The 18355-nt window shown below is 41.2% G+C and overlaps 1 protein-coding gene across 4 annotated transcripts in view, besides 5 other annotated features; it reads right to left on the bottom strand.

Annotated features, from left to right (window-relative positions):
• Positions 7182-8381: an enhancer, noted in NCBI's record as "CDK7 strongly-dependent group 2 enhancer chr16:14050534-14051733 (GRCh37/hg19 assembly coordinates)". NCBI's record gives its function as "activates an origin of replication core promoter dependent on BRD2, BRD4, P300/CBP, MED14 and CDK7 cofactors, with strong dependence on CDK7, by STARR-seq in HCT116 cells {active_cell/tissue: HCT116}" and the evidence as "EXISTENCE:reporter gene assay evidence [ECO:0000049][PMID:35650434]".
• Positions 7249-7368: an enhancer, noted in NCBI's record as "active region_10488". NCBI's record gives its function as "activates an Ori minimal core promoter by ATAC-STARR-seq in GM12878 lymphoblastoid cells {active_cell/tissue: GM12878}" and the evidence as "EXISTENCE:reporter gene assay evidence [ECO:0000049][PMID:35858748]".
• Positions 7469-7528: a silencer, noted in NCBI's record as "silent region_7225". NCBI's record gives its function as "represses an Ori minimal core promoter by ATAC-STARR-seq in GM12878 lymphoblastoid cells {active_cell/tissue: GM12878}" and the evidence as "EXISTENCE:reporter gene assay evidence [ECO:0000049][PMID:35858748]".
• Positions 7549-7598: a silencer, noted in NCBI's record as "silent region_7224". NCBI's record gives its function as "represses an Ori minimal core promoter by ATAC-STARR-seq in GM12878 lymphoblastoid cells {active_cell/tissue: GM12878}" and the evidence as "EXISTENCE:reporter gene assay evidence [ECO:0000049][PMID:35858748]".
• Positions 8839-8908: a silencer, noted in NCBI's record as "silent region_7223". NCBI's record gives its function as "represses an Ori minimal core promoter by ATAC-STARR-seq in GM12878 lymphoblastoid cells {active_cell/tissue: GM12878}" and the evidence as "EXISTENCE:reporter gene assay evidence [ECO:0000049][PMID:35858748]".
• Positions 12710-18355, bottom strand: part of ERCC4 (ERCC excision repair 4, endonuclease catalytic subunit) — a 32195-nt gene continuing 26549 nt past the window's right edge. For all 4 annotated transcript variants that reach the window (XM_011522424.4, NM_005236.3, XM_047433774.1 and 1 more), the window contains one exon: positions 12710-17444. In XM_011522424.4, the coding sequence (XP_011520726.1) occupies positions 16711-17444 (734 nt within the window). In that variant the 3' untranslated portion in view covers positions 12710-16710. The remainder of the gene's footprint in view (positions 17445-18355) is intronic.

Raw genomic sequence — 18355 nt, 5'->3', positions numbered from 1 at the left:
AACCTTGTGATTTCCTATACCTGTCTTTACTTTAATCTCTTAATCCTGTCAGTTGAGGAGGATGTATATCGTCTCAGGACCCTGTAATAATTGCGTTAACTACAAAAATTGTACAGCATGTGTGTTTGAGCAATATGAAATGCGGGCACCCTGAAAAAAGAACAGGATAACAGCAACTGTTCAGGGAATAAGAGAGATAACCTTAAACTCTGACCGCCGGTGAGCCGCGCAGAACAGAGTCATATTTCTCTTCTTTCAAAAGCAAATGGGAGAAATATCGCTGAATTCTTTTTTTGAGCATGGAACGTCCCTGAGAAAGAGAATGCGCACCTAGGGGTAGGTCTCTGAACTGGCCCCCCTGGGGCGTACCTGTCTCTTATGGTTGAGACTGCAGGGGTGAAATAAACTCCAGTCTCCCATAGCGCTCCCAGGCTTATTAGGAAGAGGAAATTCCCACCTAATAAATTTTGGTCAGACCGGTTGATCTCAAAACCCTGTCTCCTGATAAGATGTTATCAATGACAGTGGTGCCCAAAACTTCATTAGCAATTTTAATTTCGCCTCGGTTCTGTGGTCCTGTGATCTCGCCCTGCCTCCACTTGCCTTATGATATTCTATTACGCTGTTAAGTACTTGATGTCTGTCACCCGCACCTATTTGTATACTCCCTCCCCTTTTGAAACTCCCTAATAAAAACTTGCTGGTTTTTGTGGCTTGTGGGGCATCACGGATCCTACCGATGTGTGATGTCTCCCCCAGATGCCCAGCTTTAAAATTTCTCTCTTTTGTACTCTGTCCTTTTATTTCTCAAGCCAGCCGATGCTTAGGAAAATAGAAAAGAACCTACGTGATTATTGGGGCAGGTCCCCCGATGGAAACCCAAGAAAGTAATCCTATTTATAATAGCTACAAATAAAATAGAATATCTAGGAATCAACCAGAGAAGTGAAAGAGCTCTACAATAAAAACTGTAATATGCTTATGAAGGAAATTGAATAGCATGCCAAAAATGGAAGGATATTCCATGTTCATGAATTGGAAGAATCAATATTGTTAAATGTCATACTACCTAAAGCAATCTACAGATTTAATGTAATCTCTGTTGAAATACCAATGACATTCTTCACAAAAACAGAAAAAAAAAATCCTGAAATTTAAATGGAACCACAAAAGACCCAGAATAGACAATGCTATCCTGAGCAAAAAGAACGAAACTGGAGGAATCACATTACTTGACTTCAAATTATACTACAGAGCTTTGGTAACCAAAACAGCATGTATTGGCATAAAAATGTAGACACATAAACTAATGAAACAGAATAGAGAGCACAGAAGTGAATTCATATATCTACAGTCAACTCATTTTCAACATAGGTGCCAAGAACATACATTGGGAAAGGACAATCTCTTCAATAAATGGGGCCGGGAAAACTGGATATCTATATGCAGAAGAATGAAACTAGACTCCTATCTCTCATTACATACAAAAACCAAATCAAAATGGATTAAAGACTTAAATATAAGACCTCAAACTATGAAACTACTACAAGAAAACACTGGGGAAACTCTTCAGGACATCAGATTGGGCAAAGATTTCTTGAGTAATACCCCACAAGCACAGACAACCAAAGCAAAAATGGACAAATGGAATCATATCAAGTTAGAAAGCTTCTGCACAGCAAAGGATACAAGCAACAAAATGAAGAAACAACCCACAGAATGGGAAAAAATATTTGCAAACTACCCATCTGACAAGGGATTAATAACCAGAATACTTAAGGAGTTCAAACAACTTCATAGGAAAAAAAATCTAATAATCCGATAAAAAAGTAGGCAGAATACCTGAATAGACATTTCTTAAAAGAAGACATTCAAGTGGCAAACAGGCATATGAAAAAGTGCTCAACAGCACTGATTATCAGAGAAATACAAATCAAAACTATGATGGAATATCACCTCACACCACTTAAAATGGCTTTTTTTTTTTTTTTTGAGAAGGAATTTCACTCTTGTCACCCAGGCTGAGTGCAATGGCGCGATCTTGGCTCACTGCAACCTCCACCTCCCGGGTTCAAGCGATTCTCCTGCCTCAGCCTCCCAAGTAGCTGGAATTACAGGTGCCCACCACCACTCCTGGTTAATTTTTTGTATTTTTAGTAGAGATGGGGTTTCACTATGTTGGCCAGGCTGGTCTCGAACTCCTGACCTCGTGATCCACCTGTCTCGGCCTCCCAAAGCGCTGTGATTACGGGCATGAGCCACTGTGCCTGGCCTAAAATGGCTTTTATCCAAAAGACAGGCAACAAATGCTGGCGAGGATGTGGAGAAAAGGGAACCCTTGTACACTGATGGTGGGAATGTAGATTAGTACAACTACTGTGGAGAATACTTTGCAGGTTCCTCAAAAAACTAAAAGTATAGCTACCATATAATCCAGCAATTGCCCTGCTAAGTATATACCCAAAAGAAAGGAAATCAGTTTACCAAAGAGACATCTGCACTCCCATGTTTATTGCAGCACTATTCACAATAGCCAACATTTGGAAGCAACCTAAGTGTCTAGCAACAGGCAAATGGATAAAGAAAATGTGGTACTTATACACAATGGAGTACTATTCAGCCATAAAAAAGAATGAGGTCCCATCATTTGCAACAACGTGGATGAAATTGGAGGTCATAATGTGAAGTGAAATAAGCCAGGCACAGAAATACAAACTTCCTGTGTTCTCATTTATTTGTGGGAGCTAAACATTAAGACAATTGAACTCATGGAAATAGAGAGTAGAATGATGATTATGAGAGGCTGAAGAGGGTAGTGGGGAATGGGAGTGAGACTGGGGAATTGGTACAAAAATATTGTTATATAGAATGAATGAGGGCTGGGCGTGGTGGCTCATGCCTGTAATCCCAGCACTTTGGGAGGCCGAGGCGGGCAGATCACGAGGTCACGAGTTTGAGACCAACCTGGCCAACATAGTGAAACCCCGTCTCTCCTAAAAACACAAATTTAGCCGAGTGTGATGGTGGGAGCCTGTAACCTCGGCTACTCAGGAGGCTGAGGCGGAAGAATCGTTTGAACCCGGGAGGCGGAAGTTGCAGTGAGCTGAGATACTATTGCACTCTAGCCTGGGTGACAGAGCGAGAATCTGTCTCAAAAAAATAAAATAAAATAAAATAAATAAAAAATAAATAAAAATGACGAACTAAATGAATGAGAGCAGGTCATGCATGGGTCCGTGATGTGTTTGATAAACCAATAATTATAATTATTCTGATTCTAGGCACTAGTGGCCCAATTAAAAACAAAAACACCTATCTTAAACAAACAGTAGTGTATGATAAAAGAAACAAGATGATAAACTAGAGGAAATGCCGGAAGCTCAAATCTGGACTACAGATGGAAGACTCAGTTTGAAGGGATACATCAAAGGTTTGGAGCCCCAGCAAAAAACCACATCACAAAAGCTTCTCCAGGTCAGCTCTCAGGAAAACATTACAAAGATCTACCTGGAACATGTCTTTCCTTTTATAAACCTTTTCTCCCATTTCAAAACTGCCCTCTGACACCACTCCTCGAAACCGGCGAACAGCCTGAAGATCCGAACAGCTGAGGACATGGGTTCTTTGCTTTTCAAGACGACTGAACTTTCTCATCTGTTCGACTTGGGCTATCTTTTTCCTACAAGGCATTAAATGTGAAATAAGCCCTTGCTTGGCAGTCTGCCATGGAGAAGTATACTCTTACAACTCCTGTAACCTATGCTCTTAGCACCCAGAACTCTGTAATACAGATCACAGTGCTGTGACGCTTTGGTCATTTCCAGGCAATGAGTGTTATTTTCAAAAAAATATATCTAAGGAGTACTTTACTGTAATTCCATCATTACAAATACAAAAGCTGGCTTTGCTTTTTGCACTCTTTAAGACTTGGAGAAAACTACAACTTGTAACTCCAAACTATGGGCTGGGCTTTTCTCTTCCGGCACACAGAAGACGCTTCATGAATGTTTGTGGAATAAACTGACATTGTTTTCCAAATAATAATTTTTAAGACCCCGAATGTCAAGAGAAAACACTTGTTGAATGAAACATTCTTCCGATAGATCATATTTACATAGCAGAAAATGACCTACAAAGTATGAATGTATATTTATGGAGGGATGTCAAAGGAATTGTTAAAATTTGGGACTGTCTTTGGAAATTAAGGACATGTGAGATCAGCCACTGTGGCAAGGACACGCCTTCAAAATAGGTACAGAATCCAGAGGGTCAAAAAATACACACACACAAACACTACACATACAGATTTAGTGACAGTGACTGAGAGGTTAGGAGATTCAGAAAAAGACTGCCTATATTAATGACCCTCTTGTTTGTTTATTTGGAGACTGAGTCTCGCTCTGTTGCCCAGGCTGGAGTTCAGTGGCGCGATCTCAGCTCACTGCAACCTCCACCTCCCGGGTTCAAGCAATTCTCGTGCCTTAGCCTCCTGAGTAGCTGGGATTACAGGCGGCTGCCACCATGCCCAGCTAATTTTTGCATTTTTAGTAGAGACGGGGTTTCACCATGTTGGCCAGGCTGGTCTCAAACTCCTGACCTCAACTGATCCGCCTGCCTCAGCCTCCCAAAGTGCTGGGATTACAGGTGTGAGCCACCGGGCCCAGCTGACCCTCCTATTAAGATGGCAAATTCTCCAAATCACTTGCGTATGTTGAATTTGTTTGCCAAAAGATGGCAGCAGGAAAATGCTGGCCTCACCGAGACTGAAGGGAAAATGAAAGAAATAATTAATTCCTTTTGGATGAAGTCAGCAGTCAAAATGAAAGACCTTTCCCGCAAGGTTAGCAGTCAGAAGTAGATATTCCAGAATATCTACAGCAAGAGGAAGGAAAAGCCTCCTTTCCCATCATTAAGGGCATTTATCTGAAATAGAGAGAGATCATGTACTTTTCAGAAGATCATAAGCAAGTCCATGCATGGATACACGTTCATATTTTCCCACTTGAAGTTATTTACATTAAAAAAAAAAATCCGGGCCACTCCACCCTCATGGCTGCCTGCTCTTCGATTAACCTGGCTTGCCGAAAGACTTTGTTCTTTCTTTTGTGCCATCTAAGCACACACGTATTCATTTCTCCCTAAATTAATTTGCTCCCTGGTGTGCTGGTTTCCAAGCTTTAAGTCATTTCACGTGTGTGTGTTTTGTGGCCACAGCCCAATGGCACAGCTCTTGCATGCTGTCATGCTGTTGGCTTGACTCAACTTGAATTTGCTGAAACCTGAAGGCAAAAACAGCCTTCTCCTGTCCTGTGGCCGCCTGGGGTGGGGTACCTTGAAGGTGCTTCTTTTTCCTTTGCTACTAGGTTGGTGTAAAAGTAACTGCGGACAGGGCACGGTGGCACATGCCTGTAATGCCAGTGCTTTGGGAGGCTGAAGTGGGTGGATCACCTGAGGTCAGGAGTTCGAGACCAGACTGACCAACATGGCAAAACCCCGTCTCTACTAGAAATACAAAATTAGTCAGGTGTGGTGGCACATGCCTGTAATCCCAGCTACTCAGGAGGCTGAGGCAGGGGAATCACTTGAACCTGGAAGGCGGAGGTTGCAGTGAGCCAATGTTACGCCATTGCACTCCGGTGTGGGCAACAAGAGGGAAACTCTATCTCAAAAAAAAAAAAAAAAAAAAAAGGAATTGAGGTTTTTGCCATTGAAAATAATGGCAATAACTGCAATTACTTTTAAAAAATGTTTTATTTATTTTTTGATTTTCATTTTTTTTGAGACGAGTCTTGCTCTGTTACCCAGGCTGGAGTGCAGTGGTGCGATCTCGGATCACTGCAACCTCCTCCTCCTGGGTTCAAATGATTTTCCTGCCTCAGCCTCCCAGGTAGCTGGGATTACAGGCACTGGCCACCATGCCCGGCTAATTTCTGTATTTTTAGTAGAGATGGGTTTCACCATGTTGGCCAGGCTGGTCTCAAACTCCTGACCTCAAGTGATCCACCCACCTCGCCTCCCGAAGTGCTGGGATTACAGACGTGAGCCACCGCTCCTGGCATAATAACCACAATTACTTTTGCACCAATCTAATACCCAACAGCTCCCCCACCCTCCTCCAAATTTGTCACAACCTGGGTTTCACCTATCCCGACTGCCTTCATTCCCTTTTACCTAGTGAAATACGGAGTTGAGTAAAAATAAATGTTACCTACTAACACACACTCTGGGAGTCTGAGATCAGCATTGGATGCTGTGACCTCATGATCCCTTCAGGCAGGTACTCTGTGTGTGTTTGCACCCAAATACAAGCAATAGATCGGTATGGATGGGGAAGGGAGGAGGTAACACTGAACTTCATGATAAATCATAATAATAATTAACCACCACGCAGGATGACCAGTGCTCTCTTCATTGTTGCGTCAAAGGCCACCAGGCTATCTACGCTGATACTGCTCAGCTCCTGGTGTTGTGGGTCACTCCCTATAAATTCCCTCCTGTTTCATTCTGGCTGCTGGATGACTCAGTTTCTTCTTCTAATATTCTGTCTGTATCTTCCCTTCTTCTAAGTGTAGGCATTTTTAGCATTCTGTTAGTCGTTTACGGTTTCTTTACCTTAACCACTTACTTATTCAACCAATGTCTTCAGTTCTCATTTCAATGCAGGTGCCTACTACATCTTTTTTTTTCCTGCTAAACTATGTTTCTTCTAAAAAATATTTGAAGTATAATTTATATACAATACACTGCACATATTGAGTGTATGCTTTTATGATTTTGACATCTATACATTGCAAAACCATCACCGCTAAAATTACAAACATTTCTATCAATTCCAAATGAGTTTCTTTGTGAGCACAGCCAATTTTTATCCTTACTCTGGAAGCTCTATTGGTTTCGAAGGGATGTGACCTGATGCAGAAGCCCAGGGCTTAACATGGGGTCACTGATAATATTCAAGAAATCAACAGAACTCTACTCAAAAATCTACCTCTTTCTCAGGGGGAAAATTCCCAACAAGACTTGGGACTTCAAGTCTGACTCATGCTGTGTCCTGGGGCGCAGACTCGGGCTCTGATAAGAGGAAGTCAATCTGTCCTCTATTTGTTTATAATGAGTCATGCTCGAAGTCAGGCATCTAGTTTTTGTCTCTCCTCTGTCATGGTTAGGCAAGAATTGGAGGAAGATACACCCCAATTCGGAGTGCAGTGATCCTTAAAGTGTCCGAGGGCTCCAGTGTAGTTCAGGACGTGGGACTTAATGGGGACCCCTACCAATGGAGGCCGGGAGCACCAAGTCTTGGAGTTGAGGTCTACCTTCCTCCCACATCTCCAGGGCAGATGTTAGTGAGTTACAGATTTATTTGCAAGAGGAAAGGGAAAAGGCAGCTGAGTTTTCAGTAAGTCCTTGAGTCCTGTCCACTCTACCCCCTACCCCCATCTATTAGTGACAGAGGGCGGCATGAGTCACAACTCTCAGCCCAAGCCCACACTGGAGCAATTAACCACATAATTGCCTCAGTGATGAACCTTCCCCCAGCTGCAAGCCGCCCCCGGGGCAGCGCTCTAGGCTGTGAGCCAACAGCCTTCAGTTGCATGAATTGTGAAGGCCTGGGTTTAAACAGCCGAAGTTGCAATTCTTTTAGCCAATGCCTTCTTGGCTCCAATTTAAAATTCTTATACATGAGTCCTGATGGGAGCATGGAGGATGTTTCAACTAGAATTAATGTCACAATCAAGTCAACATAAAGTAGATTTATCTGCTGTTTCCATGCATTGCAGCAAAGTGCTCTGTTCTGAGAACAAATTACCATAGCAACTCAGCCGCCCCAGTTACAGTAAGCTCAGTACGACCAAAATAAAAATCCTTACCAAGTTGTAGGATTGGCGAGTGAGAGTTGCTGAACATCGACTTTCAGTTTCCAGATGACATTAGCCAGCATATATTTTGGTTTTAAAAAATCGCTGAAAGGGAGGCTTTAAATAATAACAAAATTATAAAGCCAGGTTACAAACAGAGAGGGGTCCTAGGCTGTTCCACCGCGAGCTTAAACACAAGCAAACTTCAATGCCAAACAGCAGCGTTTTTTTGTTAAAACAGAAGGCTGCCGAAAAGGCTCATTACTACTTATCGTGGCGTGCCCATTCCGTTTCACATGGTGGGGAGCATGATCAGGTTGATGCTGGTCTTTAAGAAGAAGCAATTCAATACAAAAACAGGTTTTCTGTAGGTGTGAAAGGAAGAAAAGCAAAACCACGTTCGTTTTTTTCCCTCCACCCCCATCCCCCACAATACTAAATTTTGGTTCTGCCTAATTCTCTGTTCTCTCTCTAGTGCCTTCCTTCTCCCACTTTGCTCTGCTCCCTCATCCTGATCACCAACAAGCAAAATCGCCCCTCTGTTCAGCCTGCCCATCCTCGTTTTCTTCATCCTCACCACCCCCCATGGCTTCCTCAGACCCCCAGGCGGGCGTGTGCCCCTAGGTCTCCTGGACACACCACACAGGATGACCAGCGCTGTCTTCATTGTTGCCTTGAAGGCCGCCAGCGCTCATACGGCTCAACTCCTGATGTTGTGGGTCACTCCCTTGAAATTCCCTCCTGTTTTCATTCTGGCTGCTGGATGACTCAGTTTCTTCTTCTAATTTTCTGTCTCTATCTTGCCACCTCCTAAGTGTAGGCATTTTTAGCGTTCTGTTAGTCGTTTCAGGTTTCTTTACCTTAACCACTTATTTATTCAGCCAATGTTTTCAGTTCTCACTTCAGTGCAGATGCCTACTACATCTTTCTTTTTTTCCCCCTCTTTTGACACAGTCTGTCTCTGTCACTCAGGCTGGAGTGCAGTGGTGCAATCTCCGCTCACCGCAACCTCAGCCTCCCAGGCTCGAGAGATTCTCACGCCTCAACCTCCCAAGTAGCTGGGACTACAGGTGTGGACCACCACGCCCGGCTAATTTTTGTATTTTTAGTAGAGATGGGGGTTTCACTATGTTGACCAGACTGCTCTCGAACTCCTGGCCTCAAGTGATCCGCCCACCTTGGCCTCCCAAAGTGCTGGGATTACAGGCGTGAGCCACCACGCCCAACCCCTACTACATCTTGTATTGAGACTGTCCCCTGGCTCTCTGCTATCTCAAAATCAACCTGATCAAAACCGTACTTCTCCTTTCCCATCAAAACTGTACTTCTCCGTTTCCAAATCAAGTCCTTCTCTAGACTTTAACTTTTCTCTTCAACAGTCTCATCATCTCCTGAGCCCAGGCTTAAAAAGTAGGCATTATTTAGACTCTTCCCGGGCATACATTTCATTTGCCACCTTCCAAAGATTGTCCTTCCTTCCATTTCGAAAGCTGTCATTCTAGTTCTGGCCTTCGTTACCTGTTGCTTAGATTGTTACAACAGCTTCTGAGGTGGTCTTTTCACCTCCAATCCTCCCTTCTAGACAGCAAGGTCTGGCAGAAAGATGACAGGTTTTGGAGTCTGAATCTGCAATGTCCTTCCACTGTGGCTTTAGTCACTTAATCTCTCAGTATGTCTCTTTGTCTGTAAAGGTAGCATACACAACCCACATGGCACACTGTAAATTAATATTAGTTCCTTTCCATTTCAAAATCTCTACTGCCAGACCAAAATTTTAAAAGTCTTCTGGTTCATTTTTTCCTTAATTGAACATTCGCTTTTCTACTGAAATGAGAACTCCTCATCCTAGCCCTTAAGAGACTCCTACAATATGGCCCTCGTATTGCTCCTACTTAGCGTTCACAACTCCCTCTTTAAACATTATTCTATTTCCCATCTGTTTCTTCACTAATGTGGTAGACCGGGGCTGAAGTGCAGAGCCCTGCATCTGTCTGCTGAAATCCTAGCTGTTTTTTAAGACCCATCTCGAATTCTACCTCCTCTCTGAGGCTATTCCTGTTCCCTGCAGGGATATGACCTCTTCCTCTGACCTCAGGAACACTTCTATCTCTCTTGTGGATTTTTTATTCTTCCACCTGCTCATTTTCTGCCTCTGACTTCTCTTCACTGCAAGACTGAATGTCCCTCGATGGCGTGGACTGTTTGTTATAGCATCAAACCCAGAGAGAGCCCTCTGCCTTATGCACTAATGCCTGACGCTGAAAATAAACCTGCCTGGTCACGCTTCTCTTGGTCTACTAAACTGTCTTCTCTCCTAAGCTTCTGTTGGGTGTCACCCTTCCCAGAAATAAAGTTGCACAGGGAGGCAAATCTTTTACTCAGTTAAGAGGACTCTTTAATTGACACCAAGTTCTGGAACTCATAATTATAGGAAAGGGTCCCTAAATATTACCATCTCAAATATGCCATACTACCATTTTATTAGACCTGGTTTATTTACTATTTTCATGAAACCAGGAAACTCTTTTATTTAAAATCTTGAGTTGATTTTGTTTACCTTTCAGGCCTCAGAGAGCTGTGTTCTTCTCACGTAGAAATATCTTAGTCACACAAATAGATCTTTGGGATTATCAAAAATTCCTTTTCTTTCTCATTCATGAATCAGCCTCTTTAACACTGATAGTCAACGGCTACACAGAAAAGAAACTTAGACTAAATATTCAGCTGAGCTTTTGTAAACGGAATGAGGATGAGTCCATTGAAAAATGCCAGCATCTTAAAATTTGTAGTTCTTAAAATTAATATCTAATCATAGTTTTCAATGTTAATGTATTAGTACGTTATACTTCTTACATATTTAAGAAATATATATATTTCTTGATTTTATATATATACATGTGTATATATATTACCCTCTTCTATTTTATAACTTTAGGATGCATGAGGCTGGAAACAGGGTTTTATCATTATATGGGAGCTTCAGGAGCTCATGCTGGCAATACCATTATAAAGGACAATTTTCAAAAAGTTAAAACCATAGGCTGGGCGCGGTGGCTCACGCCTGTAATCCCAGCACTTTGGGAAGCCAAGGCAAGCAGATCACCTGAGGTCAGGAGTTCGAGAACAGCCTGGCCGACATGGCGAAACCCGGTCTCTACTAAAAATACAAAAATTAGCCAGGCGTGGTGGTGCATGCCTGTAATCCCAGCTACTTGGGAGTCTCAGGTAGGAGAATCGCTTGAACCCGGGAGGCGGAGGTTGCAGTGAGCCAAGATTGCGCCATTGCACTCCACCCTGGGTGGCAGAACGAGACTCCATCTCAAAAAAAAAAAAAAGTTAAAACCATGCCTCTTATACAAAAAGAACAAAACAGAAGTCAAAGATTTTATTTGACTCACTCAATGAGGAAATCATTAAGACTGGTTCAGAAGAAAGTCAAGGACCTGGAGATTTGGAATTTGTTGGTCAAAGGAGTGCAGAAATACGTTTGTGAAAAAATGCAAAACTGGTTAATGCTACACTAGGCAATGACCTTTGCAATGCAACTGGACAAGAATCATTTGCATGGCCAACAGTTTTATTTAAATTAACCTCTATTCTTATGAAGTTGCAAAATAGCCTTCCTAATCAGTGACCAAGAGGCATATGGCCCTAGAAAATCAGAGGCAGCCTAGGCAACTGCTAAATATCTAGCTCTACACAGAGAGGAAACTCAGTATTATTGTATCTAAGTTTTACATACTTCCTTTTGACACTTTAAGAGAGATATAAAAACATACCAATTTGCAGGCCGTGCATGGTGGCTCATGTCTGTAATCCCAGCACTTTGGGAGGCCGAGGCAGGCGGATCACGAGGTCAGGAGATCAAGACCATCCTGGCCAATATGGTGAAACCCCATCTATACTAAAAATACAAAAAATTAGCTGGGCGTGGTGGCATGCGCCTGTAATCCCAGCTACTTGGGAGGCTGAGGCAGGAGAATCGCTTGAACCCGGGAGCCGGAGGTTGCAGTGAGCAGAGATCGCACCACTGCACTCCAGACTGGGCGATGAAGTGAGACTCCGTCTCAAAAAACAAAACAAAAAACCAATTTGCATTTTCTATGACATATTTCTATGACATATTTGTAATCAGATACATAGAAGTGTACAGAAATGTTTCCCACTACCCCCCATAACCCCACTATTTCATTATGGGCTGTACATCAAGGTATCAAATCATGGTTCCACCTTGAGCAAATTACTTAGCGTCTCTGTGTCTCAGTTTCATCATGTAAAACAAGATTAAATAATAGTACCTTCATGGCTTCGTTATGAGGATTAAATGAGATAATGCATAAGTGATTTTAAAAAAATGTGAGTTACAGTGCCGCTACTAAGGGGTTAGTCTGCCAAAGTTTTATTCAGACACTAAAACATGTTGAGAAATAACCTGTCTCACACCTTGTTAAAAAGGGATACAGATCTACATTTTGAAGAAGCAAATGTAATTAAATCATTGAAATGAGCCAATCAGTAACCAATAATTAAACTTGTTTGAAAGATTACAATAAATTCCAGAGGTGTTGAAAGGATAATTCATTTCTTCCAACTCTGAAATTAAAGGAACAAAAATGTACGAGGCAGGAGTGGCAAGGAATTCACCTTTGTTGAGCTAAGATATCCCAGGCATTGTGTTTACCACACACTCATTACAAACTGACAAATGAATATTTTCAGAAGAATAGTTTTCTTGTTTTGTTTTGTTTTCCTCCTTAAGGAGACATGATACAGAATGAAAAGCAGAAAGGAAAAATAACTAATAGTTTCAAGTCTTAGAAAGTAGGTTATCAAATGAATTAAACAGCAAAAGCAGTGGTTCAAAGAGCATTTCTGCCTTGTTTATTCTGCATAACAAAAACAAAAAAAATGAAACATTTTCAGGATTTTGAATTATTACTGCTGGTAATATATGCCCTTTCACTATGCATTGTTATTTTTACTTTGCCCATAAAATACTGAGGAAAGTACTGAATAAATATATATTTTATTAAACACACACAAATACAACTCTGTTAAAATTCATATAAATCAGTTATGTCTCACTCCCATCCAAATTTTGGCTTATACATCTTTAAATTAAAAAAACAACAGCATAGCGGTTTAGGCTACCAAAAGCCTGGTTGATAAGGATGATTAAGTGCTGAAGTTCAGAACTGAACCAGAAATAGCTATAAACCAAAATAGAAAACAAAATAATAAAGAAAAGTGATAATTCACGTCAAAGCCTGGCTTAATTTTAATATACTCCATCCTGAAAAAAGAACTTTCCTAAAATGTTGGTTTTTCAAGAGGACCTTTCTAGGTTAAACTGAACACAAAAGAGAATTTCCCCAAATGAGTTTTCTGAGCCAAAGGAAAATCAAATTATGCTTGCAAAACAAAAGGAAAGACCAGTAATGCCTCTTTCCCCCTGCCCCACTTCTTCGGATTTGCTTTAGTGTAGGTTTTCCTACTGAAGGCCATTTATTAATTCTATATTGTGGGGTTTCAATGCGACCAAATCTAGACTTAACCCTTCACATCCTAGTGGGTTGATGAATAAGACTATTTTCAGTCCCTCATGAGCTGGGAAACTGTATCCAGGATGTACTCAAACACATGTAGACATATTGTCTACCGAGCTTCAGGCTGAATTAGTAATAGCTTACTGCCAAAAGGATAATATTTATGACCACTACTAAAAATGATTTCTTCTTGCACAATTTTAAGAAAGTATCAAAAGAGGCACCATGATTTAAATGAAACTTAAAATGATTTCTCACAATATCTCATATGTTCACCTTTTTATACAAAAAACTTGTAAAATAGAAAAATGCTGATCTAGCTTTTAGAAAAGGTTTTAAAAGAGCCAAACATGAGTTCATAAGTACACTGGATATTTACTAGAGAGAAAAAAAGTGAAGTTAATAAAATTATGCTGGAAAATAAATACATTAATTTTGCAACTGCATGCATCTCTAGTTCCTTTACCAAAGATTATTAGATTGTAAAAAAAATTTTTATAAAAATCTAAGTAAACACTTGATGTATGTATTGAAAACTTTCCAAAACTGGAAATACATTGAAATATATTTATGTAGTTGGAAGAGGAAGTGGTAGCGAGAGGCTTTCACTTACAATGACCATTTTAGAATTCATTAGAAATTACTGTTCATAATTCAAATACATACGAGACAGTGCACCTGTCTTCAAGCGTCCAGCAGATACAAGAGCAAAGAACAGATTTGGAGAGCCAGGGGGGCACTGGTATTAGTGCAATTTTTAAGACTGTTATTTATGTTGTACTAGATAACAAGGACGGTTGAAAATGGTAGCTTTAGGAAGACCTTTTTTTTGAAAACTCAACTTGGAATGAAACCCCTTTCATAGAATATGCTATGGGAAGATGTTCCTTTTATATAATGAAACAACAATTAAAAGCAAGTGGAATTATACAAGAGGAAAAAAATAGAAACCACATACTGCAAGCAGAAGTGCTAGAATAGGGTGAAGAGACATTATAATAATCATTATCATTTGAAGTGGTAGGTCTATTTTAATATACTCTGAACTATATTCAATAAAACAATAAATACAAAATTGAATGTTAACGATAATGTTGTAATCATTCAAATTTTTGTTTTCCATTCTAGCGGGTATATTTTGAATCCTGGGAAAAAATTAGCAGCCCAAATCTTTATTCCATCTTAAACTAATTTTTATTTCTTCTCCTTTTCCTTACTCTCCACATCATCTTACAGAGTTCTACTGTAACCAATCTGGTTCTTGATACCCCTCAATTCATTCTGGTTATACCCTTGTGTAGAGTTCAAAATCCATATATACTGTTAAGTACCAATAAATCAAGATGCCAATGTGAGAGGTTCAGTTCAGAAACGACAGTTAAAAATAATTTTGTTGGGTGGGTGCGGTGGCTCACGCCTGTTATCTCAGCACTTTGGGAGGCCAAGGTGGGTGGATCACCTGAGGTCAGTAGTTTGAGACCAGCCTGGCCAACATGGTGAAACCCCGTCTCTACTAAAAATACAAAAATTAGCCGGGTCTGGTGGTGCACACCTATAATCCCAGCTACTTGGGAGGCTGAGGTGGGAGAACTGCTTGAACCCAGCAGGCGAGGTTGCAGTGAGCCGAGATTGCGCCACTGCACTCCAGCCTGGGCAACAGAGGGAGACTCTGTCTCAAAAAAAAATAACAATGACAATTTTGTTAAAGTTGAAGACAATTTTGTGTTACATGATCCACTGTCTATTAGTTCAAATAGTGTAGCAAACAAAAAAACAGCTGATGTTGATGAAACATTAAAATATGTGATATGGCTAGCAGAACTGATGTCTATATCAGCTCCTGAGGTAGAAAATTTACTACCCATTACTCAACATGTGAACAAAAGCCAACTTAATAATGTTTAAATATAAAAGTTTAAAAACTGCACAAAGATGCTGTGAATATCCTATTTGTACACTTACGTAAAAAGCCAACTTAATCAGGTTTAGAATGAGATTTTTTTCTTTATGGATTTTTAAACGTATATATTTCTTTCGTATTTTTATATATTCCATACATTGATCTTTCATTTACCTACACTCCTTTTTATCTCAAGGCAGGAAAATCAAATCTTAAAAGCTTAGTGGGCCACTCATTGGCTTGTATTTGAGTCCTCACAGAGAGAAGTAGCCACCCTGGCACAGGATGGTGAGAAATGAGGAATCACAGGCAGGTGAGCTTAGGTTGTATTTCTTTTCTTTTCTTTTTGTAATAGAGACAAAGTCTCACTCTGTCGCCCAGGCAGGGGTGCAGTGGTGCGATCTCGGCTCACTGCCAATTAGGTTGTATTTCTAGAGGATATGATGCTGGTGTCTTAGGATATAAGAGCTGAGAAACGAGGAAGTCTGAAAAAACTCTGTAACTAGCCAGCTGGACTTAGGGATCTCTGATATTAGGAGACTGAATATGTGCAAAAATTGAGAATTCTAAGAGCTCCTTCATCATTAACTTTTGCAAACAGGTAATTCATTTTGCTTTAAAAATACTAATTTGGAACAATGAAATTATAGTATATGCTACATATGTTAGGGTCATTAGAAGACTAGTCAACCAGTTTTTGAGGAGACTGTCTTGAATTAGTAGTAGGAAGGCTCCATGAAATTTCCTTAGAGCAGACAGGCAGAAGTATGGAGCTGAAGAAAATGTGGTAGAGAGAACTGGTCAGGAATGGCAAAGAGATGTTTCTTCTCAGTGTTCCAGAAGGCTCCTTTGTAGACAAAGGGTCAGAACATGATTTCCTACACAAACATCAGTTCAAGCGTCCAGCAGACACAACAGCAAAGACCAGATTTGGAGAGCCACAGGACATGGGTATAAGTGCAATTAAGACTGTTATTTATGTTGCACTAGATAACAAGGACTGTTAAAAATGGTAGCTTTCTTGTGCCTGCTCTTTTCCCTCCCTGCACCGTCCATGCCAGGCTTAGCATATTCCTTTCTAAATGAGATCTGTTAGGATCAGGTAAAGTTTCTACCTTCTGTAATCACTTGTAGGAACTTTACCTGATCCTGACAAACCTCATTTAAAAAGAAACATGCTAAGCCCGGCATAGACGGTGCAGGGAGGAAAAAGAGCAGGCACAGGCAAGTTCAAGTGATGCCTAACTGCAGAGTTCAGAGAGGAATCCTGGCTTCTGGTCCACCGTACAATCATTAAGAGCATTGGAAAAGAATGAAATAGCAAACCAATAATTAATAATGACCTATGATGTCTGGCAAGGAGCCGCTGAAAAGTACAGGCATGGGATAAGAAAACAGCCATCACTGTTCACTTTTTCCCTTTTCCTTTTGATACGACTTCTGCAAAAGAGGTGTGAATGAAATCATAAAGCTGTTTGGCATTTGCAGCATTCCCCAGAATACTCGTGAGCTCGTCTTGTGACAGGGCTGCTAATTCTGCGATGTTCTTAACGTGGTGCATCAAGGAGCGGCAGTTTTTGGCATTCACCCCTGGCATTTTTAACAAGAAGTCTTGGGGACCAGGATTATACTTCTCTGACTCGGGAAGGGTTTCAGAATCTGCTGTAATGGCCAGTGCTGTCGCCGCATCAGGCTGTGGCTTGCTTTGTTTCAGCTCCTCAAACAACTCCGCCGTTGCATGAGGAGAGGGGCACCAGAGAATCCGTAGTCTGGGGAAGTGAAGTGTAAGAAGAGTGAGTTTGGAACTAATGTCATTGCTGGAGATCTCCTGAAACAAGGCACCTCGGGAAGTGAGAGAGAAAGGCTTGCTAGGGTCAAACTCAATCAGAAGCACGGGACGCTTGTAGTAGCGGGACATGGAGATGCACTGGCTGTAGAGGCGGCCGTTATTTAAAGAGCCGATTAAATCACTGATACTCTTGCGCTCCACGCACATTTCTGGAGTGAGGATGTAATCTCCAACCTCTAAAGTCACGGGTTCAATGTCAATGCCCCGACGATGGATCAGAGATGGAAGCTCACTTCGAAATTCACGCATATCCACAACTATGCTTTGCTGTGTACCATTCTGTTCCTGGCCACCTACAGAGAAAAAGTAAGTAATGTCACTGGGGAAGAACTCTCAAAGAAGGAATATAACAAAATCTAAAAATCGATGTTTCTGTTGTTAACTCTGATGGATGGTTACATAATTCTATATGGTAATATTCCATATAATTTCTATATTTTCAAAAAGATTTGTTTATAAAGTAGAGGCAATTTCCCTTGAAGGAAACCGAGCTAATAGGAAAGTTAGACTGTCAGTAGTTCCTTACTTGCGATGATTCATAAATCCACACATACCTGCTAAGGTCTCCCCTCTGTAGTTTCCTCACTGACCACATTTTGTTGGTCAATGTATTCCCAATTCCTAGGACAAAGCCTGAGGGTAGAGGCTTAAAATAGCGGCCCCAGTAGATGTTAAAAATGCTCACTGAGCAAATCTAGTGATTTAGGGACTATTGTATTTATATCAGTGAGTCCAGAGATGGGGAAAGGGAAGGAGCTGGGAAAAACATGAACATCTTAGACCACAGCTTCTCACATTATAACATGCACATGAGCCACCTGGGGTCACATTAAAAAGCAGATTCGGGCCGGGCGCGGTGGCTCACGCCTGTGATCCCAGCACTTTGGGAGGCCGAGGTGGACGGATCACCTGAGGAAAGGAGTTTGAGACCATCCTGGCTAACATGGTGAAACCCCGTCTCTACAAAAAATACAAAAAATTAGCCGGGTGTGGTGGCGTGCACCTGTAATCCCAGCTACTCGGGAGGCTGTGGCAGGAGAATTGCTTGAGCCCAGGAGGTGGAGGTTGCAGTTAGCCGAGACTGCACCAGTGCACTCCAGCCTGGACAACAAGGGTGAAACTCCGTCTCAAAAACAAACAAACAAACAAACAAACAAACAAAAAAACAGATGTTGTATTTAGTAGGTCTGAGATCTAAGGGGTC

Source organism: Homo sapiens, chromosome 16 (assembly GCF_000001405.40).
Source record: "Homo sapiens chromosome 16, GRCh38.p14 Primary Assembly".
Taxonomy (NCBI): Eukaryota; Metazoa; Chordata; class Mammalia; order Primates; family Hominidae; genus Homo; species Homo sapiens.
This window is presented reverse-complemented; position numbering and strand designations above follow the sequence as displayed.